Source organism: Homo sapiens, chromosome 1, assembly GCF_000001405.40.
Source record: "Homo sapiens chromosome 1, GRCh38.p14 Primary Assembly".
Classification (NCBI taxonomy): domain Eukaryota; kingdom Metazoa; phylum Chordata; class Mammalia; order Primates; family Hominidae; genus Homo; species Homo sapiens.
In genome coordinates, this window is record NC_000001.11 from 56,233,161 (window position 1) to 56,255,607 (window position 22,447).

General features: G+C 39.4%; 1 long non-coding RNA gene across 1 annotated transcript in view; it reads right to left on the minus strand.

Annotated features, from left to right (window-relative positions):
• Window positions 1-331: 331 nt before the first annotated feature.
• Window positions 332-22,447, minus strand: part of LOC124904186 (uncharacterized) — a 98,825-nt gene continuing 76,709 nt past the window's right edge. The window contains exons 2-4 of the long non-coding RNA XR_007066107.1: window positions 20,493-20,733; window positions 15,870-16,040; window positions 332-3,274 (exon numbers count right to left, since the gene is read on the minus strand). This is a non-coding gene — a long non-coding RNA (uncharacterized LOC124904186). The remainder of the gene's footprint in view (window positions 3,275-15,869; window positions 16,041-20,492; window positions 20,734-22,447) is intronic.

Here is a 22,447-nt window from a genome sequence, read left to right on the forward strand (position 1 = left end):
TGTGACTGCCGCCTTAGGCCTCAGCCTCCATGAGAAGCAAAGTAACAGTGGCTATAACCTGGAAGTCCTGGGATCTACCTCTGACACTGGTAAGCTGTGTGGCCTTGGACAAGACCCCTAATCTCTCTGTGCATTGGTGTTTTTGGTTTTTTGTTTTGTTTTGTTTTGTTTTTGAGATGGAGTCTCGCTCTGTCGCCCAGGCTGGAGTGCAGTGGTGCAATCTCGGTACACTGCAACCTCCACCTCCCGGGTTCAAGCAATTCTCCTGTCTCAGTCTCCCGAACATGCCACCATACCCAGCTAATTTTTGTATTTTTAGTAGAAAGGGGGTTTCGCCATGTTGTCCAGGCTGGTCTCAAACTCCTGACCTTAGGTGATCCACCTACCTCAGCCTCCCAAAGTGTGTGCATCAGTTTTACTGTGTGCAAAGTGAGAAAAATACCTTCTGCCTTGTCTACTTTTCTGATAATGAGATTAAGACAAGTAAAAGTGCTTTAAGAAAAACTCCATGCAAAACAAAGGTGAGCTATTATTATTTTCTCTCATATAATTCTAGCGTGCCATGATTTTGAGACTTTCTATATTTAAATAAAATCTGTCCTTTGAAATAATATGTTTGGAAGAGCCAATAAGGCAGACAGACAAATACTTTAGGCTATTTTTTTAGAACTCAGATTGACAGAATTTAACTGAGGAAACAGGAACAGAGTTAATTTATCCTGGATTCCAGTATTGGGCTCTTCTTGGTTTTTTAAAACAGACATAAACATTGTTCTTCTGAATTCATTTTGTGCTGACACCACCTGGTCTCTGCTTATTTTTTCATTTCACCCAGTTCAGTGATACTGAATTATAATTGGTTTATGCTGAACTTTCTCATGCTGTGAAGTACTGATTAACAAAGAAAATAAAGTTTTTCTTTCATTTGGCCAAGTTCTACCCTACTGCCATGTCTCAGATAGCACTTTTTAAAGAAATTAAGGTTCTGTGGAATAATCTCCATCCTTAGGAAATAACTGCAAGGGTCATGAAAAGTCTCTGTCAGCCAACATTTTGTTTATAGCCCATCAGCTACAAATTTGCCCAAACTAGGAACTGTGGCATCGTCTTTCTAAACCACACATGCAATCAGGCAGTAGACCGGGTGATGGACTTCCTTGGAATGTCTCCAGCCTGTGTCTTCGTCTCCATCAATATGTCATAGCCTTAGCCCAGGCCTCCAGGAGAGTTTAAACAGCCTCTTAACAGTCCTTCACCTCCATACTGTTTTCAGGATGATTATCTTAAAACACTGATATAACCATGTCAGCCATGCTTATAAAATCTCTGTGGCTGCTATCTGCTAGACAATAGAGTCCCAGTTACTTACTGGTACTCTCTGTAATTTAGCTTCTGCATATCCTTCTAATATGACATTGCCACTTTCACCCATCTTACCACCAGGATCCATCCTCCTCTATCATCATAACCATGATACTAACATCATAGCCAAATTTTAGGGAGGACCCTCTACATACCTCCTACATAAAAGTTTTTCACAAGTTCTCAGAAACTTCCTATGAGATATTTTTACCTTTATTATACTGAGATTCAGAAAGTTAAGAAACCTGTTCAGGATCACAGAGCTGACCACAAAGGTGACAGAGTTAAGACCCAAACCCAGGTCTATTTGACTCCCAAACTTTGCTCTGCCACATGGACATTCTGAAATCCTGGTAGTTTCCTGAATGAGCCGTGCTCTTTTTACTTCACCATTGTCTTGGCAAGTGCTTTTCTCTGCTTTTAATACCCTGCCCCTTCTTAGACAGCTGCCTAACTGCTCCTTTCCCAAGGATTTGGCTCCTATGTCACCTCCTTTGTGAACATTCCATGACATCATAAGCAAAACTGCACTCTGTGTGTGTGTGTGTGTGTGTGTGTGTGTGTGTGTGTGTGTGCGCGCACTCAGGGAATAGAATTGAGTACATACTCTGGGAAAGTGAGTTGCTTGGTTTGCTGGTACAAATGGGACATGCAGGGGAATCATGGGGAACTAGGTTGGGAAAGTAGCTTGGGCTGGATCATGGAGGCTGCTGGTCTACCAGCGGCTCCTGAGGCAAGGAGGTGTTTCCAAGACAAAATCTTGCCACAGGGTCTAAGAAGGAGGAGGACAAGGAGAATAACAGCAGAGAGATTTGAAGAAAGCTATTGCAATCAGCCAGGTGGGAGATAATGAGATACTGAATAGGACTCACCATCAAGAGAATGGAGGAGAAGGGCCAGACTTAGTGACTGAGTGTCAGAGTAGGTGAGTGAAAAGGAGAATCTGCCCATAAGAATACCAAGACTGTGAACTTGAGTGCCAGAGAGTGGACATGTTCTCAAAGACAGAGAAAGAGCAGGTTTAAGGGTAAAGACAAGTGATAGGTTAAGATATGTTAAGACATTAATGGGACTTCTAAAGGCCTTTCTTGGACAACGTAGATGGGCCACTGTTGGAACTGCCATTTTAGAAGTCATCCACATAGATATAAGAGCAGAAGCCAGAAGAAAGTATAATACAGGGGAAATCATCAAGAGAGAGGAGGACAGGGCTAAGGAGAGCTCCTTAGAGATACATTTGGAGAAAAGAATCAGGAAGAAATAAAGAAAAGGTATGAAAGGAAGCTAATGATGTGTTGTGCTGTGTTACCTTGAGAAGTTACTTAACTTCTCTGGGCCTCCATTTAAATGTTAAATTGCAATACTAATTACTATCTTGCAGAATGATGAAAGGATTGGAGATAAGTTATGTGAAACAACCAGCACCTGGCTTAGTATTCAGCAGGATTTCAGTAAACCGTCACCTTAATGATTAGTAGTGGTATATTTGTTGGTGAAAGATGCTCAGGATCACAGACCTCGAATGGGGGCAGTCCTGAGCCATGTGGTGGGAATACTGGGTTATCTGTTGGGATTACTGGCTTCATTTATTTTAGCAAACATAAAAGGAAGACCAGAAGGTCAAATTCCACTGCCATTAGTGTCTAGAAGACTAGTCCAAAAGAGCAGAAGAGTCTATCAGGTGCTGGTCAAAGCCAAACTATGTTTTCCTGCAGACTAGATGCCATCAAACCAGAATCTGTGCTCAGCCCAGCATCTGGAAAAGCTCAGAAGAAGGAAAAGTCCACAGGAGAGGTGGCTGGGACCAAGTTACATAGGACAGGCTAGAGCAGGGAGATAAGAGGTCATTCACCAGCTCTGTACTCTAGGTACTCCAGGAATTCAGCCTCTTCTAGCAGAGAAAGCCCAGGACCTGCAGAAAGATGGTTAGAGAGAAAGTTTTATCAGGTGGTATGTAAAAAGAGCACCAGCTTTTTGAGCCAGAAAAACCTGTATTCAAACTTTAGTGATGTCACTCATGGGACTTTTTGTGTTAGGGGGGAAATCGCTTACTCTCAGCCTGTTTCTCCATATGAAAATGGGACAAACAATAATTTTTTTCTTTACATGTTTTTTTGAGAATTAAATAAGATATGCAAAATGCTTGAATCATCCACGTAGATATCAATACATGGTGGTTTTGTTTCCTTTTGTAGGGCCAATTACACACCAAAGCCCACTCAGTTATAAAGATCTTCATGGTCTTAGCTATTTTTCCCAGACCACGAATGCCTGAGAGAGAGAACTACAGTCTGTGAGATACAAAAAAAATTGGCCAAAGCGGGTAGGTATTTGAGAAAATTGGGAGTCAGGCTCCAAAGTGGCTGTTAGCCCAGAAGATGGTCTGTTCTCTCACTTAATATCACGAAGGCTCGCCTATTGCATTTGTGAGCATTAAATTGAAGGCAGTTAGTTATAGGAGAGATGCTCCTCATGGGCACCAGCAGTTAGGACCCAAAAGAGACAATAATAATGGCTGCCATTTATTGACTACTGCTTTAAATATATTACCTCTACATATGGTAGACAACACGATCATCTTTTTACAGAAAGGACAACTGTGACTCAGAGAGATTAAGTGATTTTTCTCAAAGTCGCCCAGCTCACATACAGCACAGCAGAATTGATACCCAAGTTGGATCTGTAGCCTGCACTCCTTTTAAATCTCTTGCTATCTTCCTGTAGGTAGGACAATGAATGAGACATGCCATGGTGGCGGAAAGTCTTCACCTTGGGGTGAAACTCAAAGTAATTGTAGATGGAGAGATTGAGGAAGAAATAGAACTAGACCGGGAGGCAGGAAACTGAATGGGTTTTGGTATTTCTCTTACCTAAGCCTCCTCGTCTATAAAATGGGGTTAATAACCCACACCCTGCCAACTATCTGGAGTTTCGGGGTGGATCAAGTGGGATTTTATATCTGAAACCACTTTGCAAATTAAGTCCCATATAAATATGTTATTAATTGGTATATTAATTAAATTATTAAATCTCAGTTATAATAATGAAACTTAGAAATTACTGTTAATTAGCATTAATCAAAATGTATGTTGGTGGTAATTATACTAATTAAAATTCTTGATAATAATGATAATTAGCACTGATACTGAGAAGTGGTCTGCCAAGCATGGACTAGCGTGAAACTGTAGAGTAAACATCCCAAATGAAAGTTGGCCGAAAGATACAGAAGCAAGCTAATGAACCTAGCTGAAACTGAACAAGAGAAACACATTAGCCTTGCTTTCCTGGTCTGAGAGTTCTGCTGTGCTGAGGTGAAAAAGATTAATAAATACCAAAACCACCCATTATTGTACAAGCACATGAGTTGCAATTGTCCTTGTGGTTGTCTGTTTATGTATCTCTCTGTGTAGTAACACTTTGCTAGTAAGTTTCAGCATATTGAACTGTTCCTGATTCCACGACCGTGCCATTCTCTAACATGCCACCTGCCCATCACACTGCCCATGGCTCCTGACAAACCCAAGATCCTTCATGTCCTAATCCATGTAAACTATCTTCAATGAAGCCTTTCCAGACTTTTCCTGAGAAACTAGGAATCCTCTTCTTTGTGTTCCTGTTCACCTTCTACAAGATTTTACTATCAAACTTACTATCTCAGCTCTATCACATACAAGTTGTGTGTAAGAAGTTCCTTACTTAAAATACGTTTATGCTTCAGTTGTCTCATCTATAAAATGAGGATACTAGCAGTGCAGGCCTTATACAATTGTCTTGATAATTCAATCAGATATGTAAGACTTTCAGAACAGGATTAGACATACAGCATTCAATTAATGTTAACTATTACTATTATTATTGTTGTTGTTGTTGTCCTAAGGATGTGTCTCCATATCTATTGCTCTGCCAGGCTGTGAGCTCCTCCATTTTGTGTTCTTATGATTTTTGCTTATGTCTTTCATGTTATTAAAATGGAAATGGATAGAGGATTTTCTCAGGAGACTTTATAGGCAAGAATAAAGGCAAGGTAGTGGAAAAATTGTTGACCGTGAAATCAGAAGATTTGGTTTAATCTTGCCTCTTCTAGTTGCTTAGTCACTGGCTTTGTGCAAGTCACTTTTTCTTATAGGACTCAGTTTCCTCATCTAGAAAAACGGAAGTGATGACCCCTAGCCTACCTTCCTGACAGGCTCCATTGTGAGGTTGGAATGAAGACACAGATGTGAAACCGCGTTGTAAACTGAAAGGCACTAATCAAATATAAGATACTTTTATTATTATTTGAACCATCTGGAAGTTGTTTGGACTTACAAATTGATAGAATCAGTCAACACTTACTTGATTTACACAGAGAGTTGTTGTTATGCTTGGGTATTTTTTTAAGCCCTTAACACTATGCACATTGCAAGCCTTTCCTCATATTCACCCCCAATTTGGTAATTTTCAAGTTTTTGTTTCCAAAGATTGAATGATGATAGGAGTTAAAAGTAGAGCCCAGGTTGAAACTTTACTAAAGATGTTCAGTTTCTATTTTCCTTAACAAAGTTTTTAGAGCCCCAGCTAATAGCTAGTTATTAAATGCAGCTCAGTTCATAGGGTTTCTTGATGTGCTGGGAAGCCTCAGAGGTTGCTGTGAGATAACAGAGTTTAGATTAAGATGGCCAGTAAATTTGGGAAAGAGAAAGGAAAATATAAATGGCAAGAACACTGAATTAGGAGTTAAAATTCCTAAACTCTTATCTTGTCCTACAGCCCTGTAGGTTGGATGTATCCCCTATCTGGGCCTTATTTTTCTCATCCGTAAAATGTAGATAACATCCTTCCATTTCATTAGCCTTTACTGCACACCAAATCACCCCAAATCTTAGTAACTTGAAATATCAGGAGTTTATGTCTTACAGTTCTGTGTTGGTTGGGCGGTTCTGGTGATTTTGCCTGGGCCCATTCATGGAGCAGCACTTAACTGGTGGGTCATTTGAGATCTAGGCTCAAGGGACACAGCTAAGATTCTGAGCATCTATATTTGTATAGTGTCTTCTATACTCAAGGAGTGAGACTGGGCCTTTTTACATGACAGTGATGTTCCAAGAGGGGGAAACCAGAAAATATATAGTCTCTTGTACCATAGCCTCACACAGTATCAATTCTTCCATATTCTATTGGTCAAAACAAGTTACACAGCCAGCCCAGAATCAAGGACAAGGAAAAGAGAATCCACCCCAACCGTTTGATGGGAGGAAGGCAAAATCAAACTGCAAAAAGGAACATGGTCACAGAGAAACATGATTCTCTGGAGGGCCATTTTGTAGCAGCCTAATACACATCTGTCCTACCTTAAGGGTTATTTACAAGCAGATAAGCTAATATGTTTAAAGTCACTTTGTAGAATATATGAGAATATAAAGGAAAAAAATTCCAGACAAGTGATAGAATTAGAATATTACCATTTTGCAGCCCACAATGAATTAAGGCTTTAAGCATCAATGGCTGCTAACATCACGAAAAACAAGTAGAGATTATGTACCTACTGAGGAGGAACACAGTGCCACCTATAAAGTTGTCTTGTTAAAATAAAAAAATTAAACCTGAATCTGATCAAACCTCTAGTTACAACTAGTAATTTTCAGGAACTACAGAAAACAGAAGAACATGTTAAACTGTACCACAGAGGTACAATCAGCAAAACCCAGAATGGCAAACACTACAGGCAAACAACCTGTTTTGTTTTTTTTTCCAACAAATAAATTACAAAAGGAAGAAAACAAGTTGGAGAAGAAACATATACATTAAAATTACGATGTGGGGAACTTACTGGATCCTGATTCAAATGAACTATTTAAAAAATTATGACATTCTGAGACCACTATAAATTTTTAGATGTCCTGCATCCTTGATGATATTAAAGAATCATTGCTAATGTTAGACATAAAATGGTATTATGAGTATATATTTTTACATACCCCTTATCTTTTAGTGTACGTATTGAAATATTTACCTGTGTAATTATATTACAGCTGAGATTTATTAGTATGAAGTGGCAGTAAGTAGATGGGGGTATAGATAGAGAAAGAGTGCCCAGGAGCTGGTAACTATTAAAGCCACATGATGAATATGTGGGAATTCATTATACAATTTTAGCTGCTTTGGTATGTTTGAAATTCTCCATAATAAGTTTTTATTTTTCAAAAAAGAGTGAAATACCAAACTAATTTTTAGGAACTACAGAAGACAGAAGAACATTTTAACTGTACCACAGAGGTATAATCAGTGAAATCCAGACTGGGAAACACTACAGGAAAACAACCTATTATGAGAAAACTACAGACCAATATCTTTCATGAATATAGATGTATAAGTCCTCAACAAAATATTAGCAAATGGAATACAACAATGTATAAAAAGAGTTATACACTGTAACCACGTGAGATTTTTCTTCCCCAGGAATGCAAGCCTGATTCAACATTCAAAATTCAATTAATATTGGCCAGGCATGGTGACTCATGCCTGTAATCCCAACACATTGGGAAGCTGAGGGAGGAGGATTACCTGAGCCCAAATCAACCTGCACAACAAAGTGAGACCCAGTATCTACAAAAAATCTTTTTAATTAGCTAGGTGTGGTGGTATGTGCCTGTAGTCCTAGCTACTCAGGGGACGGAGGCAGGAGGGTCACTTGAGCAGAGGAGGTCAAGGCTGCAGTGATTTATGATTGAGCCACTGCACTCCATATTGGGTGACAAAGTGAGACCGTGTCTCAAAAAAAAAAAAAATTAATGTAATCATCACATCAACAGGCCCAATAGAAAAATTACTTGACCAAATCAATAGATGCAGAAAAGCATTTGATAAAACCCAATACCCATTCATGACAAAAACTCTCAGTAAGCTAGGAATAGAGAAGAACCTCCTCAACTTGATAAATAATATCTATTAAAATAAACTATAGCTAATATCATACTTAATAGTGAGAATGTAGAAATTTTTCCACTAAGATCAGAAATGAGGCAAGAATGTCCCCTCTCACCACTCCTTTTAACATCATAATGAGAGCCCTAGCTAATGCAATAAGACAAGAAAAGGAAATAAAAGGCAGATTGGATGGAAGAAATAAAACTGGTTTTGTTGGCAGATAACATAATTGTCTATATAAAAAACCTGAAAGAACTGGCAAAATAAACCGGAACTAATAAAAAATTATAACAAGTTTGCAGGATACAAGGTTGATATGCAAAAGCCAATTGCTTTCCTATAGACCAGCAATGAACAAGTGGAATTTGAAATTAAAAACACAATACCACTTTCATTAGCACTCCTAAAAATGAAATACTTAGGTATAAATCTAATGAAATGTGGATTTTATAGCTTTCCTCATATAAATTAATTGTAACAAATGTACCACTATAATGACAGATGTTGATAATGGGGGAGGCTATGCATGTGTTGGTTCAGGGACTATATGGGAAATCTTTGCACTCTCCTCTCAATTTTGCTATGAACCTAAAACTTCTCTAAAAAATTGTCTTCACAATATTTTTTTTATTTTTTGTAGAGGCAGGATCTTACTATGTTGCCCAGGCTGGTCTTGAATTCCTGGCTTCAAGCAATCCTCCCAACTCATCCTCCCAAAGTGCTACGATTACAGGTGTGAGCCACAGTGCCCAGCCAAGAGAAAGGGTTTTTTAATTGTTCTCACCACAAAGAAATGATAAATATTTGAGGTCATGGATCTATTAATTAGCCTGATTGGATTATACCACAGTGTATACACGTAATGAAACATCACATAGTGTCCCATAAATATATGCAATTATTATTTGTCTTTTTTTTTTTTTTTGAGACGGAGTCTCGCTCTGTTGCCTGGGCTGGAGTACAGTGGTATGATCTCAGCTCACTGCAACCTCCACCTCCTGGGTTCAAGCGATTCTCCTGCCTCAGCCTCCTGAGTAGCTGGGATTACAGGCACCCGTCACTATGCCCAGCTAATTTTTTGTATTTTTAGTGGAGACGGGGTTTCACCATGTTGGCCAGGCTAGTCTCAAACTCCTCACCTCATGATTTGCCTGCCTTGGCCTCCCAAAGTGCTGAGATTACAGGTGTGAGCCACCACGCCCAGCCTACAATTATTATTTGTCAATTAAAAATATTCAAAGGCCAAGGTTAACCATTTGGTCTTATAGTTGCATGAAATGAAATTGTGCTAACTGGTGCCAGCACCAAAAGGCCAGGTGTTCACTGTGTATCCACAACATCTAGCACAACACAATGGTCATGGTAGCTGCTTTACCTTTCTGGCTAACTTCTCTCTAGAATGTCTGTTTCTCTTGAACTCTTCTTGCTCCTGATCACCCTGTCATAATAAGCTCTTTGCAGTTCTCAATACATACCATGTACTTGTCAGCTTCAGGCCTTTGCATGTGCTTTTTCCTTTAGGACTCACTTTGGAGAATGCCCTCCACCCCAACCCCCACTGCATTATGACGGGCCACTTTTTTTTTATTGTACTTCAAGTTTTAGGGTACATGTGCGCAACGTGCAGGTTAGTTACATATGTATACATGTGCCATGTTGGTGTGCTGCACCCAGTAACTCATCATTTAACATTAGGTATATCTCCAAATGCTATCCCTCCCCCGTCTCCCCACCCCACAACAAGCCCCAGTGTGTGATGTTCCCCTTCCTGTGTCCAGGTGTTCTCATTGTTCAATTCCCACCTATGAGTGAGAACATGCGGTGTTTGGTTTTTTGTCCTTGCGATAGTTTGCTGAGAATGATGGCTTCCAGCTTCATCCATGTCCCTACAAAGGACATGAACTCATCATTTTTTATGGCTGCATAGTATTCCATGGTGTATATGTGCCACATTTTCTTAATCCAGTCTATCATTGTTGGACATTTGGGTTGGTTCCAAGTCTTTGCTATTGTGAATAATGCCACAAGAAACATACGTGTGCAGGTGTCTTTAGAGAAGCATGATTTATAATCCTTTGGATATATACCCAGTAATGGGATTGCTGAGTCAAATGGTATTTCTAGTTCTAGATCCCTAAGGAATCGCCACACTGACTTCCACAATGGTTGAACTAGTTTACAGTCCCACCAACAGTGTAAAAGTGTTCCTATTTCTCCACATCCTCTCCAGCACCTGTTTTTTCCTGACTTTTGAATGATTGCCATTCTAACTGGTGTGAGATGGTATCTCATGGTGGTTTTGATTTGCATTTCTCTGATGGCCAGTGATTATGAGCATTTTTTCATGTGTCTTTTGGCTGCATAAATGTCTTCTTTTGAGAAGTGTCTGTTCATATCCTTCGCCCACTTGTTGATGGGGTTGTTTGTTCTTTTCTTGTAAATTTGTTGGAGTTCATTGTAGATTCTAGATATTAGCCCTTTGTCAGATAAGTAGATTGCAAAAATTTTCTCCCATTCTGTAGGTTGCCTGTTCACTCTGATGGTAGTTTCTTTTGCTGTGCAGAAGCTCTTTAGTTTAATTAGATCCCATTTGTCAATTTTGGCTTTTGTTGCCATTGCTTTTGGTGTTTGAGACATGAAGTCCTTGCCCATGCCTATGTCCTGAATGGTATTGCCTAGGTTTTCTTCTAGGGTTTTTATGGTTTTATGTCTAACATTTAAGTCTTTAATCCATCTTGAATTAATTTTTGTATAAGGTGTAAGGAAGGGATCCAGTTTCAGCTTTCTACATATGGCTAGCCAGTTTTCCCAGCACCATTTATTAAACAGGGAATCCTTTCCCCATTGCTTCTTTTTGTCAGGTTTGTCAAAGATCAGATGGTTGTAGATATGCGGCATTATTTCTGGGGGCTCTGTTCTGTTCCATTGGTCTATATCTTTGTTTTGGTACCAGTACCATGCTGTTTTGATTCCTGTAGCCTTGTAATATAGTTTGAAGTCAGGTAGCATGATGCCTCCAGCTTTTTTCTTTTGGCTTAGGATTGACTTGGCAATGCGGGCTCTTTTTTGGTTCCATATGAACTTTAAAGTAGTTTTTGCCAATTCTGTGAAGAAAGTCAGTGGTAGCTTGATGGGGATGGCATTGAATCTATAAATTACCTTGGGCAGTATGGCCATTTTCATGATATTGATTCTTCCTACCCATGAGAATGGAATGTTCTTCCATTTGTTTGTATCCTCTTTTATTTCATTGAGCAGTGGTTTGTAGTTCTCCTTGAAGAGGTCCTTCACATCCCTTGTAAGTTGGATTCCTAGGTATTTTATTCTCTTTGAAGCAATTGTGAATGGGAGTTTACTCATGATTTGGCTGTTTGTCTGTTATTGGTGTATAAGAATGCTTGTGATTTTTGCACATTGATTTTGTATCCTGAGACTTTACTGAAGTTGCCTATCAGCTTAAGGAGATTTTGGGCTGAGACGATGGGGTTTTCTAGATACACAATCATGTCATCTGCAAACAGGGACAATTTGACTTCCTCTTTTCCTAATTGAATACCCTTTATTTCCCTCTCCCGCCTGATTGCCCTGGCCAGAACTTCCAACACTATGTTGAATGGGAGTGGTGAGAGAGGGCATCCCTGTCTTGTGCCAGTTTTCAAAGGGAATGCTTCCAGTTTTTGTCCATTCAGTATTATACTGGCTGTGGGTTTGTCATAAATAGTTCTTACTATTTTGAGATACGTCCCATCAATACCTAATTTATTGAGAGTTTTTAGCATGAAGGGTTGTGAAAGGTTGTTGAATTTTGTCAAAGGCCTTTTCTGCATCTATTGAGATAATCATGTGGTTTTTGTCTTTGGTTCTGTTTATATGCTGGATTATGTTTATTGATTTGCATATGTTGAACCAGCCTTGCATCCCAGGGATGAAGCCCACTTGATCATGGTGGATAAGCTTTTTGATGTACTGCTGGATTCAGTTTAGAGTATTTTATTGAGGATTTTTGCATCAATATTCATCAAGGATATTGGTCTAAAATTCTCTTTTTTTGGTTGTGTCTCTGCCAGGCTTTGGTATCAGGATGATGCTGGCCTCATAAAATGAGTTAGGGAGGATTCCCTCTTTTTCTATTGATTGGAATAGTTTCAGAAGGAATGGTACCATGAGGGGCCACTTTTTTTTTAATCACAGTTCTGGTGCCCCTGTAGTTTCTTGTTTCTGATCATTACCAACTGCCTGTGAGCTCTTTGCAGACTTGAGTGGTCTCACTTGTATCCCCAGCGCCTAGTTTGTTGCCCAGCACATAGCACAAGCTCTGCAAATATTCCTAGACTACTACATTTAATGAATTCTGTTTGTTCCACACTAAGAACTAAGGTCCTTTCTGAGCACATGATCAAAAAGTAGATAAAAAGTAGTAAATACAGGGACTCTTGGGTGGGAAGTTGTTCATATTACTTCATTTGCAAGTGAGGGACACCATGGATTCTTGACTTTTCTGTTTGGCAGAAAGGTCTTTGGGCATTTCTAAAGAGAATACTTGAAAACCGAAGGGTGGAGATAAAACTGTAAAACCTTTAGAAGAAGATACAGGAGTAAATCTTCATAACCCTGAATTATGCAGTGGTTTCTTAGATATGACACCAAAAGCACAAGCAACAATAAGAAAAATATACAGATAAACTGGACTTCATCAAAATTAGAGACGTGTATGCTCTGTTCAAAGGACACCATCAAGAAAGTGAAAAGTCAGCCTCCGAATGGGAGAAAATATTTGCAAATCATATACAAATGGCCTCCAACTTATGATGGTTTAACTTGAGATTCCTTTTTCCTTTTTTTGTTTTTTTTTGAGACGGAGTCTCGCTCTGTTGCCAGGCTGGAACGCAATGCAGTGGCTCAATCTCAGCTCACTGCAACCTCTGCCTCCTGGGTTCAAGTGCTTCTCCTGCCTCAGCCTCCCGAATAACTGGGACTACAGGTGCACGCCACCACGCCCAGCTAATTTTTGTATTTTTGGTGGAAACGGGGTTTTACCATGTTGGCCAGGATGGTCTCGATCTCTTGACCTCGTGGTCTGCCTGCCTTGGCCTCCCAAGGTGCTGGGATTACACACCTGAGCCACCGCACCTGGTCTCAACTTGAGATTTTTTTAACTTTACAATGGGTTTACCAGGACGTAACCCATCCTAAATTGACAAGCATTTGTATCTGATAAGGGACCTATATCCAGAATTATAAAGAACTCTTAAAATTCAATAATAAAAAGAAAAAAGATGGTCAGAATCTGAACACGGTTCTCCAACATGGCTAATGAACACACGAAAAGATAGTTCATACCTACTAGACTGACTCACAGACACAGTACAAGTGGTGAAGATGTAAAGAAATTGGAACCATCACACATTGCTCCTAGGATTGTAAAATGGTGGAGTCACTTTGGAAGTTTGGCAGTTCCTCAAAAATTTAAACAGAGTTACCATACGACCCAACAATTCTACTCAGGCATATACCCAAGAGAACTGAAAACAGATGTCCACACAAAAACCTATATGTGAATGTTCATGGCAGTAGTGTTTATAATATGCATAAAGTGGAAATTTCAAAATAGCTAAAAGAGTGTTTTTTGCATGTCCAGCAACTGGTGAATAAACAAAATGTGGTTTAAAAAAAAAAAAAAAAAGAATTGTCTTCAAAAACAAAAGAGTTGGATAAGGAGTCAGACAACCCAGGACTCGCGTAGCAGCTCCCCTAGCTCCTCTCCTTAGCTGTATATTCTTAGGAAATTCATTTCATTTCTCCAAGCATCCAATTCTTTGTCAATACTCACCCACCCCCTCATAGCCATTATTGTCTAATGATGCTGTGAAGCTCAGCTGAGCTCATGAATGCAAAAGCATTCTATACACCATGAAAGACTACACATATGAAAGGAACTGCTTTGTTACTATCACTATGACCTAGAAAATAATTCAGATCTTTTGGCCCCTGTGGCTCCCCTAGGAAGAGCATCTCTCCATGCTTGGTCTGCTCCCATGAGAAATTAAACACATGGACTCAAGAAGCTCTGCAGGCAGTGGATATGAATTTGCCAAAAGATCTGAAGAATATTTTTAAAATCTCATCTTTTGCCTTTATCTTAAATGCAGATTGGGAAAACTTCTGCTTCTGGTCAAGATGGAGTAAAAGACACTGGATTTACCCTCCTGCCATATATAATCAAAAACCAGACTATGTATGTGAAATAATGGTCTTCAAAGCAGTGAACATCAGGCAAAAGCAGAGAGTAATCATTAAGACATGAGAAACAAAAAAGCTGAATCCCATGATTGCCCTGGTGTACTTCTTAAGAGAGTTTTCAGACAACAAAAAGAAATAAAAGACATCAAGATTGGGAAGGAAGATGTTAAACTGACTTTATGGTACATGTGCACAACGTGCAGGTTTGTTACATATGTATACATGTGCCATGTTGGTGTGCTGCACCCATTAACTCGTCATTTAACATTAGGTATATCTCCTAATGCTATCCTTCCCCCCTCCCCTCACCCCACAACAGGCCCCGGTGTGTGATGTTCCCCTTCCTGTGTACACGTGTACTCATTGTTCAATTCCCCCTTAAAGTATAATAAAAAGAAAAAAGAAAGAAAAAAAGTGCTGAAAGAAAAAAAATAAAAATAAAAAAATAAACTGACTTTATTCACAGATGACATGATCATCTATGTAGAAAATCCAATTGATTCTTCCCAAAAAAAGGTATTAGAAGTAAATGAGTTTAACCAGCCTGCAGGATACAAAATCAATAATCCAAAGATCAATTACATATCCATATGCTAGCAAAAAAATAAGAAATTAATTTTTTATATTTTTTGTTATTATTTTATTTTTTATTATATTTGTCAATGATTTATCTTTTATTTTGATTATTTTTATTTTTCTTGTTTAATCTTTTATTATTTTCCTTCCTCAGAACAGAAATTAATTTTTTAAAATTCCAATAGCATCAAAAACATTGAATATTTAGGGATCATATTTTTAAATCTATTAAATACCTATACACTGAAAACGCAAAACACTGCTTCAAGATGTGAAAGAAGATCTAAATAAATGGAGCAATTTCCATGATCATATGTTAGATGACTCAATATTGTTAAGATGTCAGTTGTCCCCAAAGCGATCCATCGATTCAGTGTAATGTCCATCAAAATCCCAGAAGAATATTTTAAATAAATTGCCAAACTGATTATAAAATTTATATGGAAACACAAAAGATCTAGAATATCCAAAACAATTTCTAAAAGCAAGAGTAAGGTTAAATAACTTCCACTATCTTTTTAAGATATGATTTTAAGACTCCCTATAAATATATATTAATCAAAATAGTAGTATTTTCACAAAGAGGCAAATAGATCAGTGGAATGTGTACATGTGTGAACATGATTTTCAACAACAATGCAAAGGCTATTCAGGCAAGAACATTAGTCTTTTCAACAAATGGTGCTGGAAAAATTAAATATGTATCTGCAAAAAAAAAAAAAAAAAAGAACTTCAATCCATACTTTGCACTATTTAAAAGAATTAGCTCAAAATGGATTATGTACCTAAATGTAAAATTTTTAGAAGAGAACACAGGAGAAATCCTTCATAATCTTGGGTCAGGGAAGAAGCTGTTAGATCCAACACCACAGGCAGGATCTATAGAAGAACAAAGTGGACTGCCGGCTGTATGAGTCGCTCTGCTGTTGAAGTAATTACCAGGTGGTCACTTGGGTCTGGAGAAAAAGCAAAGACTAATGAAAATTGCTCTGTAAAATCTTTACAGCTCTCTGAAGTAAACTAGATTCATTGGGGTTTTCTGTTATTTCACAGTCTTAAAGGCCATATCTGGAAAAAAAAAAAAACAGTCCCTTTTTAGTTCCTTCTTTTTAGGAGCAAATTCAGAACTTTTTTTTTTTTTTTTATCATTTACCAACAATCCTGCTCCCCACCCACTTCCCGCCCCACTACCCATTAGAATTCTTTCTCAGCCTTTTGAGCATTGAGGAACTATTGTTCAGGCTTTGAAAACTTCCTCTTACCTCCAATATCCCTGCCTTACTATTTTTGCATAACCATATGTCCAACCACAAACAAGACAGTAAGCGTTTTTAGGTCTCAATTTATAACAAAGGGTTAGGAAACCTGATTTCCAGAGCTGTTTTCAGCTCTGAAACCCTCCTAAGCTGATTCCTCACCAAAAAAAATTTTGCAATAAAAATCATTTATGAGAGCTAGTGTTATAATCAACCAAGTAACTCTACAATTCGGTTACACACACACACACACACACACACACACACACACACACACCAGGTTTCTTCTGTTTATTTCCAGGTTGTATCCAAGAATAGGGGTGATCACTGTTATTGCCCATATCAATAATTGAATTAAATACAAGCCACAGTGGAATGAAATCATATTGTATTTGGAGAGACAGGCTCCAAGGTGTCTGCTAAATAGCCAATCACATTTAGACTTGACTCATGGCTAGAATCATTCACTAAACTAATATTTTCTAAGCACTTATTATGCCCCAGCTACTCTACTGAGTGCTAAAGATATAGTACTTATATTCTAGAAAGGGAAACAGACTCTTCCCACCATTGTGGTGCCTTGGCACATGTATCTCTTCTGCCTGGTTTGGTTTTCCTCTCCTATCTTCACTTGGTCAGCATCTGCTTTTCAGTCAAAGAATCTAAATGTGGCTTCCTTAGAGAGGAGTTTCCTGACCTTAAATTAAGTTTTCCTGTTATTTATTTCCTTATATCCCCCTTTATTCTTTTCCTTTCTAGCCCTTAGTATAATCCATATCTATTTTGTTATTATTGCATTACTACACTTGTCACAGTTGTAGCAAAGAGATGTTTACTCAATATTTGTAGACTAAATGAATGAACAAATTAACAGATTAAAGGCACAAAAAGGGATCTTGGGGAACTCAGGAAGGCCTCCGAGAAGAAGTGTTCAATCTAAAAGGTGGTAAGGATTTAGGTAGGTGAAGAATGAAGACAATGGGCAAGTAGATGTCCATTACTCACCTTAAGTTCATAACCTTTCATCTGAAAAATGGCCTCCTAACTGATTTTGAAATTTCTGGTCTCTTCCATTGCTTCAGACTGAGTTATTATGTTACGAAGTCAGTTACATCACATCACTTAAGGTCTCCAAAATGTAATCAGCTCTCTACTGAATAACAGCCAAATTCTCCAACACGGCACTGCTCCCCTCACCCAAATGGTCTGGCTTTCACCTACCTGTCTGTATCTCACTAACTCTGCCCATTTACTTCATGAGGCACTCATGATGATCTCTTCCCCACTGACCAAACACATCCTATTCGTTTCTATTTCCATGCTGTGCACTGTACTCCACCCTCCCTCTATTGAAGTTCTCTTCATCTGATACAAAAGCAATGCCATGACACCTTCTCTTTGGAAGTTTCCCTGGTAAGTCTCCCTTCCTCCTCTGAACAAATCTCTCCTCCCTTTCTGCTTCTACTCCCCATGTTTATCCTTCCTTTTTGTGCACACATGATTCTGCTTAACATCATGGTTTATATTCCTGTCTTTCGGTAGCATGTGAGCTTCTCCAGGTCAGAAGCAGCTCTGAAACTCTCCTAATGTAGAATAAGCCCTCAATAAATGTTTGCTGAATTGAATGACCCCTGATCCATCCACACAGGAGATCCACTTCTGTTGCCCTTAGCTTCCCACAGTGGGCCCCTACAAAAGCATCATGATGCCATCCTCTTGAAAACCAGACTTCAGCCTTCACTCCAACTCCTCTAATTCAATTTACTTATTCATAAAATAGTTATTGAGCACCTGTCATATTTTAGACACTCTTCTAAGCACTAGGGATGCAGAAAATAAATCTTTGCTCCTATGTTTACTTATATTTAAATGGGTGAAAGACAAATAATAAATAAGTTAGTATAATATGAAGTGCATCAAGTTATGAAAAATACTATAGGGAAATAGCATAAAAGGAGATAGAGTATACATTTTGTGCTGGGGGAGAAGGAAGGTGATACCTTAAGGAGTGTTCCTCCAAGACCTCTTACGGAAGTTGCCTTTGCAGTAAAGACTCAAAGGAAATAAAAGAGTGACTAGAGGGATACCTGGTGTAAGGCATTAAAGCAGAAGAAACATCGAAGGCCGAGAGGTGGCAGTAATATTAAGGGTCCAAGTTAGAAAAATGATCATCTGCTACAGTCAATGGCCTGAATGTGTCCTCCCCAAATTCATATGTTGAAACCCTAACCCCCAATGTGATGGTATCAGGAGGTGGGGCCTTTGGATGGTGATTAGATCATGGGGGGAGCCTTCAAAAATGGGATTAGTGTCCTTATAAAAGTGACCCCCAGAGAGCTCTCTTACTCCATAGGAGTATATAAGAAGTTGGCTGTCCACACCCCGGAAGAAGGCACCTACCAGAAACTGATCAAACTGCCACCTTGATCCCGGACTTCCAGCCTCCAGAACTCCTGAGAAATTTATTGATCGCAGCCCAAAGTGTCTAAGTCACCCAGAGTGGTGTATTTTAGAATCAAGTCTGATGCAAGTGTAGGTAGAGCAGTGTAAGTGAAGGAGATGGTGGGAGCAGATGAGGCCAGAGATGGGAGGTGAGAGTACAGAGCATTGAAGGTCATTGTAAAGATTGACCTCTTCTCTGTATGGGATGGGAGGCCATTGGAGATTTTGAACAGCAAAGTGAGATCAACCGGCATGTATTTTAAAAGCATTAATTTGGTTGTGGAGTTGAGAAGAGTCAGCAGGGGAAGCAGAACAGAAGCACAGAGACCTATTGATGAAATCATTTAGGCACTAAACAATGGCGGCTTAGCACAGAATGAAGGCAGTTGTGGGATAAGAGGTGGGCAAATGCTGGGTGTATTATGAAGGCACTTGCTGACAGATTAAATGTGGGGATTAGGAAAAAGAGAGGACATGGGAAAGGCAATAAGTTTTCTGGTCTGAGCAGCTAGATGAAAGGGGTTAGTGTTTATTAAAATGAGGAGGACTGTGAGAAAAACAGATCTTGTGCAGGGGCAGGGGGATGCTGGAGTTCAGTTGCCGGAAAGCTGAAGTCAGGTTCTTTTATCACCCAGATGAGGTGTCAAATTGGCATTTGGAAGAAGAGTCTAGAATTCACAGAAGAGGTCCAGGGCTAGAAACATAAATTTGGAACTTGTCAGCATAACAATAACATTCCAATCAATGAAACTGGATGACATTGTCAAAAGGGTGGAGAGAGACAAAGAAGATGGGGCCTGGGACTGAACCCAGGTACACTTTGATATTAAAAGGTCAGGGAGTTATAAGGAGCCAGCACAAAGGAAAACTAGCCAGTAAGCTGAGAGGAAAACCAGAGGAGTGTGGTATATAGCTAAGTGAAGAAAGAATCAATGAAATCAACTATTGGACCAAATAAAAAGTGAGCAGACAATTGACCATTATGTTCAACCATGTAAAAATTGGTGACCTGGAAGATAAAAGTTCTTATGAACAATGGGGTGAAAACCTCATTGGGGAAGGCTCTAGAAAGAATGGGAGCAGTAGAATTGGTGACAAAATATAAGGTTGCCATTTATTTTGGTTCACCCATGGCAATCTCAGTTTTCACCCATAGTCCAGTGTTCCATGCAGTTAATAGTTTCTCTGCCTGGGTGATACATTACATAACAGTTCTAAGTCTAGATAGCTCTGTCTAGATATACATTAAATACTGCACGCTTTCATCCATGCAACAGTACACTTTTCACTTTTCCATTTCTAGCTTTCCTGATGTAAGTAAATGCCAAATCTCTCCCAGCCCAGAGAGCAAAGGCCTGGGAAACTCTCCCTAGGATGATCTGTTCTCAACCAGAGCTAAACAAAGAGAATCACCTGAGAATCAGGACCCTGCCCTTAATGATTTTGATTCAGTTGGTCCGAGGTACAGTCTAGGCCTGCTTCTCCTCCTGGAAATTCTAATGTTTAGCCAGGGATAAGACCACTGCCCTAATTCATGAAAAAGCAACAGGTCAGTCTGGTGGAGGTTATTATAGATCTCACTTTAGCAGTCTCTTCGGAATTTTCCTCCCTGTCCATCCCCATTGTCAATGCTCTGGTTCATACGGTCATTTCCTCTACCTTGGACTATTGAAATTGCACTTCAAATAGTATCTCTGCCCCTGGACTCACCTCCTTCAATCCATTTTTTCTCATTTTACCAACCGGTTCTTTTCAACAGACTCCATCCTTCCTTTGAAAACTTCTGAGGTGTCCTTATTGACTTCAGGTTGAAATTTAAATTTCTTAAAATGTCAACTGCAGTCTTATCAATACACATTCAAGAAAGGGTAGTGCAGGCAGACTCAAGAGATATTTGCACTGTGGAGTTTGAGTTTTCCACTTTTATGGGTTTCTTTAGCCAGGAAGAATCCTGGAAAAAAAGGTGAGGATATCTCAGAACTGTGATGATATCCATTTTTATACCAATTATAGGTGTTCCCGTACTGATATGGTGCTAGGTGGGTGTGTGATTTAATGTGTTAATGAGCATATAATGAGGTCCTAGGTGAAAACTAGATCAATTCCAGTGCCATGTTTTGTCCAGTCGGTCTTAGCCAGCTTGGTCCACACCCTGGTTTTTCACAGTCTTATCAGCCTGTAGCTTCTGCAGCTATTTTAACAGTTTCCTTTTGCTAGTCATGTGAAACTGCTGCCTGGAATTTTCTATTCTCCTGCGACCACCCTGTATTATTCCTGTCTCATTTTCCCCACTGCAGAGATTTCCATCCCTTTATTCTTAAGGGTCAATGAGGGAGAATGTTAGTCTTCTGTATCTACTTCCTGCTGATTAGGGGTGATGGCCCTGCCTAGTGAGGGCATGGAAATCTCTGTCTGCCTGGTTTATGTGTTCCCAGCAGGGGTCATCAAAAGAGTCTGAATCCAAGGCAGCAGTTAATTGGAATCCTTGCATGACCATCATTTTGACATGGAACTGTTGCGACCTAGAAGACACAAACTACAAGGAAGCTAAACAAACAAGGACCAAAGATTAGTAGGAATAAGATAGCTATTAAAGGTCCCAGGAAGTTAGGAACCATGTTACACTTGGTAGGTACCCTTTGATGGAGTCCCAAATGGCTTGAGTAGTTGGGGTTATTGAAATTATGTAGCCAGATAGCCTGTTGGTAAATCTTTTGAACTTGCAGTTCAGCTAACCCTGATTGTTAATATAAGAACAGCAGGTATGGTTTATTACGTGCAAACCCCTCCTAGCAGTTCATGCTCTGGCTCTGCTAGGGCCTCATACAATGGCTTAGTAATAAGCCCAAATCCTGGGATCCAAATCCTGCAAAATCCTGCCATACCCAGGAACGTTCTGAGCTGCCTCTTTATTTATGGATGTTTCACCTTTAAGATAGCCTCCTTTCTGAATGGGTAGCTTTTAAAGTCCCATTCGAACTTTAAGAATTTCTAAATCTATGAGTGTAAGGAATTTCTCTTTTAACACGTATATTCCTGAGCATATTTTGCTCAGGCAAATATTTTAGTAAAGGGAAAAGAGGGAAAAAGTTGGGAGTGAGTGCCCACATCTCTCTCTTGTCTTCACCTCATCTTTGCCTACACCCCAGTCCCACTCAGAAACTGTGTTTGTTTCTCAAACATGTTATGCTCCCTCACCTCCAGGGTTTTACACATATTATTTCTTGTCCCTGAATTACTCTTCCTGGATTATTCTTCAACTAGCTAATTTCCTTTCATTCTTTAGATCTTAGCTAAGTGATAAACTTCTCTGACAAGTCTTCCCTGCCACCTGTCACCTCCATCTTCACGACCCCCACCAAGTCTGGATGGAGGGCCTTTCACACAGCATCTCATAACTCTCTGGGCTTCCCTCACTACAGCCCTCATCACACTATATTTTACTTGTCACTTTACAGGCCAATGTTTCCAACTAGACTGTCAGGGCCATATCTATCTGTTTCAAGGCTCAATAATTCTTTGTTGAATGAACAACAAGGTGAATTCAATCTAAAGGGTTATGGAAATACCTTTTAAAAGTACTAAAAATTCACAGGTGCAGACCTCTTCTTTAAACTGTGGCAGCCCCAAGGATGTCACATGTATTTCCCACTTTGCTTTGCCCC